This window comes from Homo sapiens, chromosome 10, assembly GCF_000001405.40.
Source record: "Homo sapiens chromosome 10, GRCh38.p14 Primary Assembly".
NCBI lineage: Eukaryota > Metazoa > Chordata > Mammalia > Primates > Hominidae > Homo > Homo sapiens.
The window spans coordinates 54,896,112-54,912,063 of record NC_000010.11 but is presented as its reverse complement, the minus strand read 5'-3'; the positions used below and the strand labels follow the sequence as shown (position 1 = coordinate 54,912,063).

The window sequence follows — 15,952 nt, the reverse complement described above, 5'->3', positions numbered from 1 at the left end:
CAAACCTACTATTCATAAATCATGTCATTTCTCCATATCTACACCAATAGAAATAATAATAATGATGAATGTGGTTTGCTACAGTTAAAGACCAATGGATGTTTGTATTAGTTCTTTTCTACACTGCTATAAAGATACTACTTGAGACTGGGTTATTTATGAAGAAAAGAGGTTTAATTGACTCACAGTTCTGCATGGCTGGGAGGCCTCAGGAAACTTATAATCATGACAGAAGGTGAAGGGAAACAAGGCACATCGTAACAAGGTGGCAAGAGAGACAGAGTGCAAGGGAAACTGCCAGACACTTATCAACCAACCAGATCTCATGAGAGCTCTCTCACTATCAGGAGAACAGCATGGAAGAAACCGACCCCAAGATCCAGTCACTTTCCACCTGGTCCCTCCCTTGACACCTGGGGATTACAATTCAATATGAGATTTAGGTAGGGACTCAAAGCCAAATCATATCAATGCCTAACAGAGCAAAATCTGAAAACATTTGGCAAAAAGTTAAAAAGAGTAAAGTTGAGTGTGTGTTTCTCTAGGTACTGTGCTCTTTTTATCATTCATTTATTGTATTTTATACCCATCATATAGATTATTAAAAATAGTTTATTGTCTTATGTCTGTTATCATTCTTTGAACCTGTATATCTAAGCATGTCTAAACTTTTCATTTATATCCACCAATTAATTTCCTTAAATCAGTATAATTTTAGGATTTCTAAAACTTATAACAAAAATTTGTACCAATTGATACAAGGCTAATGGAGGTTTAGATTTGTTAAATATGTCTCTTCCCCTGCAAAGTAATCCTAGTAAGAAATGAACTCCTTCTATGAAATCTGAGCTTAACCGGTGAAACTGTATCTGAAGACCTGTGTGATCTGCATCTGAAGACCTGTGTTATCTGCCTCAGAATATGGCTGCCAGAAAAACTAAGAGTGAAACTCAAAGTCTTAAAAATTAGGTACTAGGGCGGATATTTCACTTCATCCTTTCCAGATTATGAAACTATTTTCATTCCATTCTTGTCAACCATCTTTCCCTGATACCTGAGCACTAATCTCATCTCCAACATGTCTTTGTTTCCTTTATTTTTACTACGCTGATTCACCCTGTAATAATTATGGTTTCCACTGTCCCATCTCAATTGCCTCTGCACTGTGAAGTCTGGTGAACCCTGACCACATGATGCAGTCCCATTTTATTGAGATACAATATTGGATCCAATCTCTGCTGATACTGGTTTGTTACTTGTTTGTTCATTTATTTATTTATTCAACAAATAGTTAATAGTTCACTGATTTTCTGAATGAAAATTTAACAAAAACCTATTGTTTTGCATACCTTATTCTGCATACAAAGGATAAAAATCAGTTGAAAATGTTGGAGTAGGTATTATCAATAGAATTTTGGTAAAATGAAGGGGTAGTCAGGCAAATTTTCATTGTAGTTAGGTGATCTGATGGGGATTAATATATTGTGCACAGAAAGGAAGTGGATCATATACCATTCTCAATCCTCAGGGTTAGGCCTAGATTTCCAATGATGACATCTATCTTAATCTAATCAAAATGTTATTTGTTATTTTCTGTGGTGAGACTAAGAAAATATCTCTTTTTAAACAAAGCAGTCCATTAAACAGATAACATAGACACTCAAATATAAGGAAAAAAATATGCTTGTAATTCCGGTTTATCTTTACCTTCAGAACTTGAGTAAATGAAGAGTGAATGGAGTTTTTTGCTCAGGAATATATAACTCTCCCCACTTGGTGCAGGGGAGATTGTACCTTGATGACAGAAGAAGGTATTGGTGGTATTGATGGCCGCCACAGGCTATCTGGAGCAGGTGCTGCCATCCAGCCAGCTGCAGTGGGGAGGTGTCAGTGATGGCAGCAGGAGCAACTGTGGGAGCAGCAGTGGTGGCAGTGGGACCCCTGTGTCCCACATCCCTGAAGCAGCTAACTATGCCACCTCCACCCTCGCACAGATGGGCAGGACTTCTCCCAGGCCTGGGGTCTTTGCCATGGCCTCAACTTTGCTCCCCGCTGTATTTTGGTAGCCTGAAAGCACCCAGCTGAAGGCACCACCAGGAAAACGGGGAGAAGAGAAGGACAGTCCCCAGAGCCTTCCCCTGAGACCCCCCTGGAGACCACCTCCCTGGGAGCCATCGTGAGGGGCCTGGCTGAGTCACCTGATCATCAGGGAGCAGTTTGTTCCAGCATAAAGGCTGGAGCAGAGAAGGGCCCCCAAGTGGAGCAGGTCCGAGGTGGTGCTGCGCTCCACAGAGCCAGTGTCTGCTCCCCAGGAGCAACTGCAGCTGCCCAAGCAGCTGCTGTGACCCAGACACCCCTGTGCTCTGGGAGCTGGGAGCAGGCAGGAGCCCCACCCTCCTAGGCACAGCTGCAGCTGCCCAAGCTGCAGCTATGGGCCAGGGAATCTTTGCACTCTGAGGGCCCAGGAATGCCTCCCTGTCACCGCAGGCTCAGAAGTGACTGCTCACACTGTCTGGCTTCTCCCCACAGTTGGGCCTGCTCAATCAGGGAGCAAAGATGAGGCCAGTCCTAGGTGTTGTCACAACCTGTCCAGGGGTGCACATGCTCGAGGCAGTGCTGATACACCAGCCCCATGCTACCTTGGCCTCCTCGAGACTTTGGGTGCAAACAAGCCTGGGAGGGAGGCTGAGACAGGGGCTAAGGAAAGCTCTGCACTGGCCTGCAGGCACCCCTTGGCATTAATAACCTGGGCTCCATGAACAGAGGCAGGAGGCTATCAGGCTTCTCAGAGGAAGATGGGGTCTTGGTGAAGCCCCACCTTCAAGCCAGGGAAGGCCTGAAGCCTGGGGACTGGGCTTTGTGTCCCGCAGACTGGAGTGAGAACTCGTGGTGCCTTTTCTGGGCCCACCCATGACAGCACATAGACCAATCAGCACACATTTTCTCCTTTTGGAAGCCCACAAAAGCCCTGGGCTCAGCCAGGCTCAAGGAGATGATGGAACAACCAGCTGCAGAGAGAAACTACCCTCTCTGCTGAAAGCTGGACACTCGTCGGGATGACCTGCCTAGCAGAGAGAAGTTACCCTTTCTGCTGAGAGCTGAAGAGATGACAGGATGACCAGCTGCAACAAGGAGCTACCCTCTCTGCTGAGAGCTGAGCATTCATCGGGATGACCTGCCTAACAGGGAGGAGCTACCCTCTCCCCTGAGAGCTGAACACATATTGGGATGACCTGCCTAACGGAAAGGAGCTACCCTCTCTGCTGAGAGCTGAACACCCATTGGGATGACCTAATGGAGAAGAGCTACCCTCTCTGCTGAGAGCTGAACACTCTCCAGGACACCGTTTACAGAAATGATTTGCCCACTGCGGGTCTCCTCTGAGCTGTTCTACTGCTCAATAAAGCTCCACTTGTCTGCACACCTCTTTCTTCCTGGATGCAGGACAAGAACTCTGGACAAGGCAAATGTTAGAGCTAAAAGAGCTGTAACTGTAACACGATATGGGCGGAAACTTGCCTGTTGCCTGCCATGTTGCAGGTGACAAAAAGGAGGGATGAGAGGAGGTAAGAGCTGTGGCCTTGTGGGGCCCCAGACCTAGAAGCTCCCCAGGCCAGGGCTGTGACAGCCTATTTAGGGCTCTGCAGTTCCTGGTGTCTCCAAGTTTCTGGCACCACACTGCAAACCCCACTATCACCTGTAGAAGCTGGTTATGGTACGCCTTGTCCAACCACAGTCTCTCAGGGAGCTGGTGACTGTGCCAGCACCTGGAGTTGCCTGCCATGCCGCAGCCAGTGTGCCTGGCTATGCACTATAACTGAACCCCATGCCCACTCATACACCCCTTGCCACTCTGGGCCAGGCTCACCCTCGGCAGGCATGGGATCCAAGCATGTAGCAGAGTTGAGCACAGCCTGCCAGGCTGAGTTATCAGAACCAGCCCAGTGGGCCAGAGCAAAACTCAGGCAAAGGCACCACTGGCCACAGAGGTTTCCAGCTGGTGAAGTGACACCCTGAGGATCCCATAACAATGTCTCTGTAGCCTGTGTGTTTCTGAAAAGTTCTGGATTGGGTTTCTCCCAGCAGAATATTCTGTCTGAATATCCCAGCAATGTAACAGCATACTTCTTCAGAAAGAGGGGCCAGGGTTCTTGACTTCTTAGGCCTACCTTAGGGTTGTCCAGTCTTTTATTGAGAAAGACCAGCTTTCATAGGGTATGGTGTATCTATACAAATTTCTTAAAATTATTTTCAATTATATCATTAGGAATTTAAAAGGGTTGCAGTACAGAAAATAATTATCCCTAGATCACAATATTGCAATATCACACATATACCTCATTGGTTTATTATTGTGCTTACAGACATAAACTATTTAAGGGACAATTTGGGGAGCAAAGAGGATAAATTTCATATTTTTTTGGAGAACATTGTATTTATAGGAATGAGTGTTCCCAGGGGGCCTTAACAATGACAATAGCAACAACCAGAACAATAATGAGGATTCACGTGAATCAAAGGGCAGAGACCAAGAGAGCATACAGTGAAAACACAGCTAAAGACTGGATAAATACTAAGTTCAGTATGTGACGTCTTCATCACATGACACTGCATTGTGGAAGAAATAATTGTCAACAGTAAAAATGCTGTAGTGCTTGCAGGGGGGATTTATAGTGTATCCAGAGGAAGGGTTGTTTTCTGATTCAGTTTCTTCTCAATACATTTTGGAGAATATAAAAAAGAAGAAATACATGCATAATTATATTGGGTAAAAATCAGATATTTTTCAGTTAGTCTGTTAGAAGCATACCTGGAATATATTTAGTGTGTCATATATTTATTAGTGTCATTAATTTTGCTTTCTTGTTTAGTAATTACAACCTGTTTTCCCCAGAGAAATATATACATTTGAATTATAGCTGAGTCATCAATGACCTACCAATATACACTCATGGAAAGGAATCATCTCTTTCCTTTTCTCTGTGACTTCTGCCAAGAAAAGAAAATGCAGAGTGATGGTGCACATACAAAAAGCAGAAAACATGGATCCATTAGGTTTGTGGCCAATATATTGTAATTAAACTCACTTTTACTGGATACTTCCTGTTTTCCAGACAGTGTGCCAGGATCTGAGGAGACAGCAATTATTAGGGTAATGTGATTTCTGCATGTTAACATGATGCCTGCATGTTAAGACCTAATAATCTTATGAGAAAACAGAAATTCCTAGGGAGACACTGATGGTGGGATTTTAAACATTTCTTAGCATATCTGATAACAATATTCAACATACAGTCATGGATTCCTATGTACTTGCTGTCTTATATACTAGGATGTACCTTTATAAATGAACCTCTCTTACCTTTTGAATTTGCAAAATGTTGGGCACTCTCTCTCCTCCAGGTTATTTCTCAAGCAAACTGACACGGAGATGTTGGAGGAATATTACCCCTGGCAATTAGTTAAGAGCCTAGCACTGAGCTAATTGTTCTGCCTACATTATTTCAAACAATCCTCAAATAAATCCTGGAGTTTAAATTATGAAATTAAACATAGAGAGAACAAAATAAAATTTAAAATCATCAAATTGTATGTACATATGAATGCATTTATTTTGGAATTTATTTTTTATTTTAATGTGAGCTTGGTAAAATTATTAACAGTTCTGGATTGAAAATATATTTAAATTGTTGCAATTTAAATTAAAGTAGAAAGAAAATAAAAAAATAATCTAATCGATTTCTGAGTTGTATTTTAAAGACTGTTGTATTTGAAAGAGAATATTCAGAGAGAATAGTCATCTGGGTCCTCCACTGCTAATGATTCTTGTGCAGACTTTCAATGATGTGGATAATATTCTGGAAGTATCAATTTACAAATTGGATGTTGGATTCTTTTCTACCTAGGAAATTTCTGAACCAGCCCCTTTTGATTTATCTCCCTTGTTGCTTAGATGCAGTTCTTCAGCAGTTTAATGCCTGAAGGAAGCTCACTCTGACCTTAGGGTGAGAGAAAGATTTTGCCTTTTCCTCCTTTGTCTTTACTAAAGAGTTCCCTTTATGTAAACCTTTGAATTGTACATTGTTACCAGATGTAAGGCCAAATGAGATTAACCAATTTAACTTAATCTGAGTATATTTAGAAAGTAAATCTGAGCATATTTAGAAAGTAAATCGGTTAATCTGCTGCATTAAAAGTGGCTTATCCTATTGAAAAGGAAATGTTAAGAGGGAGAAATTTTTGTATTCATGACACATCTGCAACTGTTCTGTTTTGACAGAAGAGTTCTGCATGACTCAGAGATCTCAACCCCTGTTCTTGTCCATATGGAACTATTGAGCCTCATATTAATATTGGAAAAGACAACTCTATCCAGCTTTCTAAGGATTATAGCAATATTCTCTTTCACGACCTAGTTTCCTTGAAAAGCCTTACCTTCTCAGGCTTCCTATAACTGTCCCAGGAACTGGCATTTCTTATCTTGTTTGCAAATAATCTCACATCATCTGAACTATTACAAAGCTTTTAAAGTGATAAAGAGATCAAATAATTAACTAGTTGCATTAGAAATGAAGAAAAATATGGAAAAATTCATAAATGCATGATTCTATTTCTTTGACAGCATGCTTGGAAACTCCATTAGCTGAATTTATCTCATAATTTATCAAACAAATTCATTGGCTATGCCAGGATTTTATACATTTCAGCGAAATAAATACAGTGTTGCTTGTATGTGCTTATGATGATAAAATAATGATTAAAAGAATTTTAAGGATTAAAGCCTGTGCCCAAGTTCTGACATAATTATTATTATTAATCCCTGTTGAGAGAAAATAAAAAGAAATACTTTTGATATTATTCTTCTATTTCAGTGTATCAACACATTTATAATGTGGCACTGTGCAACTGAGGAAAGAATCTGGACTTTGAGGCCAAATCCTTGCTCTGTCATTTATTTATTAGGTGTGGGACCTCAGACAACTTCTCTGAACATTGGTTTTCTTATATGAATTTGAAAGTGGTACAGTCATATCTGCTTCATAGTGTAGTTGTGTGGCCAGAACGAAAATAGGTAATAGAGAATGCCTGATACATAGCAGATGCTCAAGGAACAAAAGCTAATTTAAAAATATAATTTTAATTTATCTTGTATTTTATCTTTGTCCTTTTTGTTTTTTTTAATTTATACCCACCTTCTTCCCTTTTCTCCACACTTTACCTCTTGACCTTCTGAGAGTGAGCTGTGGTACCTCAAATGGCACATGGAAATTGATTAGAGTTAAGGAAGTGGGGCATACTGAAGTGATGTGATAAAGTGTGGGGCAGCTAGGAAAGAAATTATTCTGTTTTTGTTTGTTCATTTGCCTGATTGGTAGTTTATTTCTAGTCTTTCCTCAAGGCACCTAAATGTCATGGTTCATTCTGATGGCACAGAGAGACAAAAGGTCTCTCTCTTTATATTTCTATCCATTATGCTGTTATGTAAATATATCATTGTAAATGCAACTTAGTAGAAGCTATAACTGAAATAGTTATGAAAGTATTTTGTCATCTTATTATATAGATTTTGTTCCAACCTGAGATTTTTTTTTTAATCATCATATAATTGAACCCAAACCAGGTTGACCTAGGAGGGAAAATATTTAGGGTAGGCATAAGCTACCACAATCAAATACATAAATTGTAACTAGATAGTCTCTTCTCTTTGTATAGTTAGATGGAGTATGAAAATCTATTGGAGGTATTGTTTAAAGTACAACCTTACATGAATAGGCTAAAATTTAGGCTTAAGATGCAAAGTTAAAATATAGTAATAAGAAGAAAATAACATTAATTATACTTCCACAGCAGAATACATAGTGATTTTGCAAAGCTGAAGTTAAAAGGAAGAGAGGGGGAAACAAAAATCAACCAATGATTTTTAGTTTTGCTTTTATCATAAATTTCACAGCATGATATTGTTTCATTGACATATATAAAATAATACTGAGGGCATCAGTATTATGTTAAAAGGAATAGGACAGCATCCTAACTAAAGCCAGTGAAAACATTTGCTTCAAAAAGGCAGTTATTTGTGCCATAATAGTAATAATATGTCATTGTCTAGAGTGCACTCAGAATAAATGGCTCAGCATTACCAATTATACATCTTGACTTGGCAGCCTGTAGTTTTATTGTTGTGGGAGGGAACTACGCTCTTCATATTCACTTGACAAATGAACTCTACCATTTAAATAACTATTGAAACACTGCAATAAAATGAAGACATACAGAATAGTGTGTTTGTGGAAAAAATGATTTGGTTCCTCTGAGTTGTTTTAGAAAATTAGCACAATGCATTAAATCAGGTGTCAGGAAATTTCATGGTCATACCTACAATAATTTTTATTTTTGAATTGGACTATTATTAGATTGTTTCTAATACTGGATTACAGTTTAATTATACTTACTGCTCTTTAATGCTTCATAAAATACTTTTTCCCAAAAAAAAAACATGGCAAAAAATAGGTTTAGTTTCTTATTTCTATTTTATTTTTCAGATTTCATTTTGTTTTTGTAGTTACAATATTATATGTGACCTATACAGGGGAACATTCTAATGGGGAACAAAGTGATCATCATATTCTTAGCTATTATACTTTGGAAGTCTGAATGGTCTTCAAAATGAATTTGGTATACTTTCTTAACCTGTGAATTAAATGATAGCTTCAACTTACTTTAAAGGTAATGAGTAATGCTTTGCTAAGACTATTTTAAACACATAGAATATAATAAAATTTGAAATTGTATGTTCAAAAAAGCCATATATTCAATTGTTTAGTGATGTAGCCACTTCCCATCCAAACGAACACTGTAGTGTTGATGTTATTGGCTTGGTATCCCTTCTTTTCTTTCGTACCTAGTCTGTTTCCTCCTTCATACCTCCAACCGTCATCTTTATGAAGGACACTCTTTTCTGCATTTGAGTAAAGGAAGGGCAATGAAAATACTCATATATATTTGGCCACCTAAAGAACAAAGTCTAATTTGAAAAATCAAGGATAAAAGCCATTACTTGTTAAACAGGCTAGGTTCCATATTATATACATTGTGATGATAATCCCCCTAATTAGGAAAGAAAAACCTGTAACCCGAGGAGATGAAGCAGCTTGCCCAAGTACAGTGACTGCTGAAATTGCAGCACAAAACTGCCTATCTATGGCTGTCTTTAAAGCCCATGCTCTTTCCCTCCCTCTCAAATGACTGAAATAAATAGCTAATGAGAAGATGCAACCAAGGTACAAACATTCCATGAATTTATTTATCTAGAGCAGATTACAACCATTTGGGGGAGAGAGCAAATATACATCCTCAGTAAGGGCACTGATATTTCGCCCAGAAATGACATATCTTCTGGTTTGTTGTTATATTAGTCTGTTTGCACACTGCTATAAAGAACTACCCGAAACTGGGTAATTTATAAAGAGAAGAGGTTTAATTGACTCACAGTTCCACAGGCTGTACAGAAAGCATGGCTGAGGAAGCCTCAGGAAACTTACAGTCATGGCAGAATGGCAAGGGGAAGCAAGCATCTCTTAATATGGTGACAGAAGAGAGAGGGACCAAAGGGGGATGTGCTACACACTTTCCAACAACCAGATCTCCTGAGAAATCATTATCACGAGAATGACAAGGGAGAAATCTGACCCCATAATCCAATCATCTCCCACCAGCCTCCTCCCCCAGCATTGAGGATTACAACTCAACATGAGATTTGGGTGGGGACACAAAACCAAACAGTATCAGTGGTGTATCAGCTCTTTCAAATAGGATAGTGACACGTGCATCCACATTTGTTTTTTATCTGACATGATAATATATGAAAGTAGGTATAGAGCTTATTGATTAAGTCCAACAACTTAATATCAAGATATAAAATAAAATTCATTCTTTGAATATAAATGAGACAGTCATTTGTTTGTTTGCTTGTTTCAGTTACATTAAACTACTGGTGAATTTGAAGCTGTGATTTCATGAGCTTTTGGAAGAACGGGTCCTGTAACATTGCAAAAAAAAATCATTTGAATGGAATGTATCAATATGAATATTTGGTAAATTTGCTTAATAAATATATATATAGAAGACCTTCAGATGCACAGTTATAAAATTATGATTTTCTGATGAGAAGAAATTAATGCATTCCATAATAATTAGGTTATCTCCCAAATACATTGTATAGGATTTATTCCTAGAACTTTTGAAATAAATGACTACAAATATTTCACTTTTATTTGCTCAAACTGATTTATTAAAAGAGGCAATAGGGATCTTAACTATATATTCACAAGCATTATCAAGTCATTTTCAGTGAGGTTTTTCTATAGAAGTAATGGATTATAATATGAGTCATGTAAGGACTACATGAGACTATCTGTGTAGGTGCCAGGTAAATTACATTGACTACATGTTAGAAAAAAATGACATTTATTTAAGGTAGGAGTAAATCTCTAAAATAATGTGGTCATGAAATAAATATATGTGTGTATGTCAGTTGCTAAAATATAAGGCAAATTCATGAATAAATCACATTATTAGCATGTATATTGCCACCAGATGATAAAATTATCTGTGTCTTATAAACACCAAAATCTACATTCGAAAGCAATATTACATATATTTCATAGAGACTTGACACTGGTTGATGAGGTTCTGCAATAAAATTGTACCAATTAAGCAGTTCCAGAAAACTGTAACCTTAATGCACTAGCTTTGTCCTATTTTATTTTATTCATTTATTTATTTTTGAGACAGGGTCTCACTCTATCATTCAGCTCACTGCAACCTCCACTTCCCAGGCTCAAGTGATCCTTCCACCTCAGGCTCCTGAGTATCTGGCATACAGACGCCACCACACCAGGCTAATTTTTTGTAGAGATGGTGGAGGGGGGTCTTACTTTGTTGCCCAGGCTGTTTAACTTCTGAGCTCAAGTGATACACCTGCCTCGGCCTTCCAAAATGTTGGGATTGCAGGCACGAGCCACCACACCTGGCTGCTTTGTTCTATTTTAATATTCACTTGGTTATTGTTATCACAAGGTCTAGAGCACAAATGATACCCTAAATGTGAAAATCTAGTGCTGCATCTTTTAATAATTAATTCCTAAAGCAATCTGAACATTGCCTGTTGACCAATACTATCATAATACTCTAATTACAAGATAAAGGGGAGAGCTTTTTGGTAGCTTGGCTTGCTTATTCTGAAACTGAAACATTTTGTGACAAGTTTACTACATTGAAACTGAGACATAAACTGGGTCGCTGAAGGTTAATTTCCACACTATGCTCCTATTCAGTAGTGAAATTCATATCTAGAACAAGGTATTGTTGCCATTTATACATTGTCATATATAAACTTTTTGTTTAAGCAAATTGGAATATATCTTGGTGATGTTTGTGTTAAAAAACCAAATCATAGCAATGCTTTTAATGTCAAAGGCATTCCTGAATAAATCTGTAGAATGCAATTTTTATTTGTAAAAGTAATGGATTGAAATTAATTTCTTCCTTTTGAAATGCAAACAAGTTTAACTTTTATCATTTATTCAGTTACCACCTTAACTAAATACTAACAAACTTTATCCTAAACTTTAGATAAAATCAACAAGGATTATTTAAGACTTTGCTCAAATCTCCTTCAATCTGCCCTGTTTATTAAATATTATAAGTTTCAGCCACCTTACTCACAACCTTCTTTTTTTTACACTGACAATTTTCCCCTTAAAATTATCACGTTCGAATATTATATATAATTTACTTGTTTTATTTGTGTTGCACATTGTTTATTTCCTGGGTATTGCTGCCAAGTAAGTGCCGAAGTAAAAGACTTTTAAAAATGTGTTTACTGATATATTCCAGTTGTCTAGGAAGATGGCAGATACACCTGGTATATAGTGATCAATAAGTTTGAACATGCCTTAAATAAGTAAGTAAAATATTTAAACAATTAGTGACAACAACACAGTCAATCTTTTGTGGGTGTATATGTTTTAATTTTTTTTCTTACAGTTAATTGCATAGGCAGATAAAGAATACTAATTGTTACAATTGAGAAACATTTTAGGGAGGCTTTGATTAAATGTCTTTTTTTTTAAAGCACTTTATTATTGGAATGCACAGCAAATTTTAAGCAACTCTAAAAATTATTTTCTACTGAAATACATATTTGAAAAATATGTCATTCCTTTGTTAGAAAGTTATAAGAGTAATACAAATAGAAAGATATAATCTTTGGTCGGGCACGGTGGCTCATGCTTATAATCCTAGCACTTTGGGAGGCCGAGGTGGACGGATCACAACGTCAGAAGTTCGAGACCATCCTAGCTAATACGGTGAAACCCATCTCTACTAAAAATACAAAAAATTAGCCAGGCCTGGTGGTGGGCACCTGTAGTCCCAGCTACCTGGGAGGCTGAGGCAGGAGAATTGCTTGAACCCGGGAGGCGGGGGTTACAGTGAGCCAAGATCGCACCTTTGCACTCCAGCCTGGGCCACAGGGTGAGACTCCGTCTCAAAAAACAGAAAAGAAAATTACGGAAGGGAAGGGGAGGGGAGGGGAGGGGAGGGGAATTATCTTTAATCATGATCATGAAGTAAAAATAAAACCATTCCTGTGATAATTTATAAACTTTATAAATTTATTTTCTCACTCTTAGAAACAGCTGAAAAAGAAAGCTAGCACCATTTAAATAGATATTTGCTTTTGTATCCTTGTGATAAATAATAAAATTTGAAATATTAAGATAAAAATTAAAGAACTAAAAAATACCTTAAGGATAAACTATTTCAGCATCAGTTATTTGCATCATCTTCATGTATTAGGATATAACTTAGATCCACTTTATATTCATCTAATTTCCACAAATAAATACTCTACGTCCAGCAAGTGAATTATTTACAGGAACTTCATACAGCTGAATTTCTTTTCGTGTAATAATACTTTTTTTAAATGGCAATCGTTACTTTTATGATAGCTTCCAATTCCAGGCTTGTTATGAATGTGCTGCATGACTTAAGCAAGACTCTATCTTGCAGAAAAATGGAGTTCAGTCTCCATGATCTCCAAGTTTCCTTCCCCTTCTATGATTTTGTACCTTTGTCTCTTATTGTACCATATATGATTTCGCTTTTGTAGTAAAACACTTAGCATTAACAAATATACATCTACTCTTTTAATTTACCAGTTTTGTATTTTTTAAATGGACATGATATACTGAAACTATGGTTAGAACTAGAATCTTTCATGCTACATGTTATCTATATATTCAGGATTCAAAATGTTTCTTGTACTGTTTTCCTTGGGACTACATTTTAAAAAGGAAAGTGCTTTCATAGGAGTCTGCCTCATTCCAGGGAGTAAATAAATACTCATTAGAACAATACTGAACTAGGTATTTATTGGATAGAAAATTCAGTATTCCAGTAAGTACTTAACTAGGTATTTATTGGCTAGAAAAATGATACAATGGATTATATCTTTATCTTATTGAGAGAAAGAGTTGCTGAAAAATCTGGGAAATATAAATAAAATATAGTGTGATTATCATCCTGGAATATTCCTTAATTATCTTCTCTTAAATATTAACTTAGATATCTTGTCTCAAAGCCAACATAATAAATTATAGTTTTTTCAAGATATGAAAATAACCCTAGTTTATTATTGTATTATTTTATCCAAAACTTTATTATGATATTCTTCAAAATATTACAGTGTGAAATATATCATTCTTCCATTTTTAAATAAATGAACATATTAAATATATGTACTATGTGTTAGGTTGTTCTTGCATTGCTATAAAGAAATACCTGAGACTGGCTAATTTTTAAGAAAAGAGGTTTAATTGGCTCATGGTTCTGCAGTCTGTACAGGAAGCATTGTGCCAGCATCTGCTTCTGAGGAGGCCTCACACACTTTTAAACAACCAGACATCGTGAGAACTCACAGTCACCAGGACAGCACCAGGCCATGAGGGATCTGCCCTCATGACTCAAATACCTCCCATCAGGCCCCACCTCTAACACTGGAGATTACGTCTCAACATGAGATTTGGAGGGGATATCCAAACTATATTATACAGAAAGAAGGATTTTTTCATAAGCTGTTTTAATACCCAGGTGTAATCATCAAATATATTCAGTTATATTTATTGCTCAGTTTTAGGTAAAATATCTAGCATATCAAATCCAAACACAATATGCCTTATGCATTATTTCCATATTGCTTGTGAAATTTGAAAAATTAGTTTCCAAAATGATCTAATATCTGAATCTAAAAGCACTTAAAGATAAAACATTTTGTGAATACAAAATTTAAGTAGAATTAGCACATTTCTAATGGTACACACATATATTACATTTGTTTCTGGCTGTAAGAACATATAAAACAAGCTACAAAATATGTAAACACCAGAAGTTATAAAGAAATACTTAGTAGTTAACAAATAGTTTTCTTTTAAATAATACATAATTGTTGTTTCAATTCAAATTAGAAAATGCCTTTGACTGAATAAGTTCTTTTTATTTACAGGAATTTGCATTGTCATGTTTCGAAATACCATTCCAAAGACCTGCAAATAAGGTATGTTATGTTTTATTTAATATTCAAGTATATGTTTAAAATTTCATGTCAACGGTTTACAAACTAAGAGCTGTATCTCAAAAGAGAATCATAAGTAGAGTGTTGATTTTTGAATTCAAGTTACAACTATCATCGATATGTTGCAATTACGTTGTGATTGTTCTTTCCCTTTATTGAAAACCCACTTGTATAGAGATGTCCACTATTTGCTGGTTTATTCAAGTACAGTATTAATTGTTTGAAGCAGAATGCAAATGTTTGTTTTGCTTAATTTATTTGCCATCCAACAAAGACTTTCTTGCCAACGTATTATGTGGCAACTGTCATGCAGCAATTCATACACAGAATGTAACTCATGTAGAAACATTTATCCAAATCCAACAGCCACAGGAGCAAGACCATGGGAAAGTATGAAGTAATCAATATTTGGAAAAACATAAAACCTAAAATCTGAATTTGGGTTATAGTAAGACCCTGAAAGAGTTCTTTTTAAAATATATGTGTATGGCTCTTTATTCTCAATATGTAATTGCTTATTGGAGTCACATAAAAGCACCTAATATTAAATTGAATTAACTTATTACCTGAGATTTTAATATTAGAAACATTGTTTTTTTTACTTTGTATATTATTAGGGGAAAATATTGCATTTAACAACGAAAGCATTTGGATATGCCAATTCACTTATTTGTGGCTCTTTTCTCTTTGAAGAGACTCTTGTAACCAATGTTGTTCTGCCTGAGTGGTTGCTAAAAGGAAGGAAGAAAGTGCAGAAATATTAAAATCTGAAAAGTAAATGTCAATCTTCAAGGCCCTGGATTTTAGGAAAACTTAAGGAGAAGAAACATTTTTTAAAAAAACATCTTATTGGCATGACTTGGCATTCATATTACAAGTAAAAATCTAGTTCATGGAGCTAAGCTATTTTTTTTTTTTCCGCTGGGAAATTCAGTTGCACCTTAATCTAGGGAATAAATCAAGAAAGAAGCATTGTAGTTCCTTATTTCAGTCATGTTTTCATTCTTATATTCTCACCAGAACTTTCAGAAAAGTCAACAGCTGGATAGAATTTGGAATCTTTTCAAACTCGTGTATCTCAGCTGTTTCTACTCTAGTTTTTGAAGGAGGCAAAATTAGATGTGAATGCTTTATGATTATACTTTCAATGCATGTTTCTAATTGACTATAGTAAAATAAAATTGAAAGTTAAATAAAAAATAACTGATTTGCATTTATGTTTACCTACTTTGTTTCTTTAAAAGTACTCCTGGGCGTGGTGGCTAACCCTTGCAATCCCAGCACTTTGGGAGGCAAAGGTGGGTGGATCACAAGGTCAGG

The 15,952-nt window shown here is 36.6% G+C and overlaps 1 protein-coding gene across 1 annotated transcript in view; it reads left to right on the top strand.

Annotated features, from left to right (window-relative positions):
* PCDH15 (protocadherin related 15) overlaps nucleotides 1–15,952 on the top strand; it is a 1,825,172-nt gene that overhangs the window by 715,879 nt on the left and 1,093,341 nt on the right. Inside the window, exon 4 of the mRNA NM_001354404.2 lies at nucleotides 14,564–14,614. The gene's annotated coding sequence lies outside the window, so the exon portion shown is untranslated. The remainder of the gene's footprint in view (nucleotides 1–14,563; nucleotides 14,615–15,952) is intronic.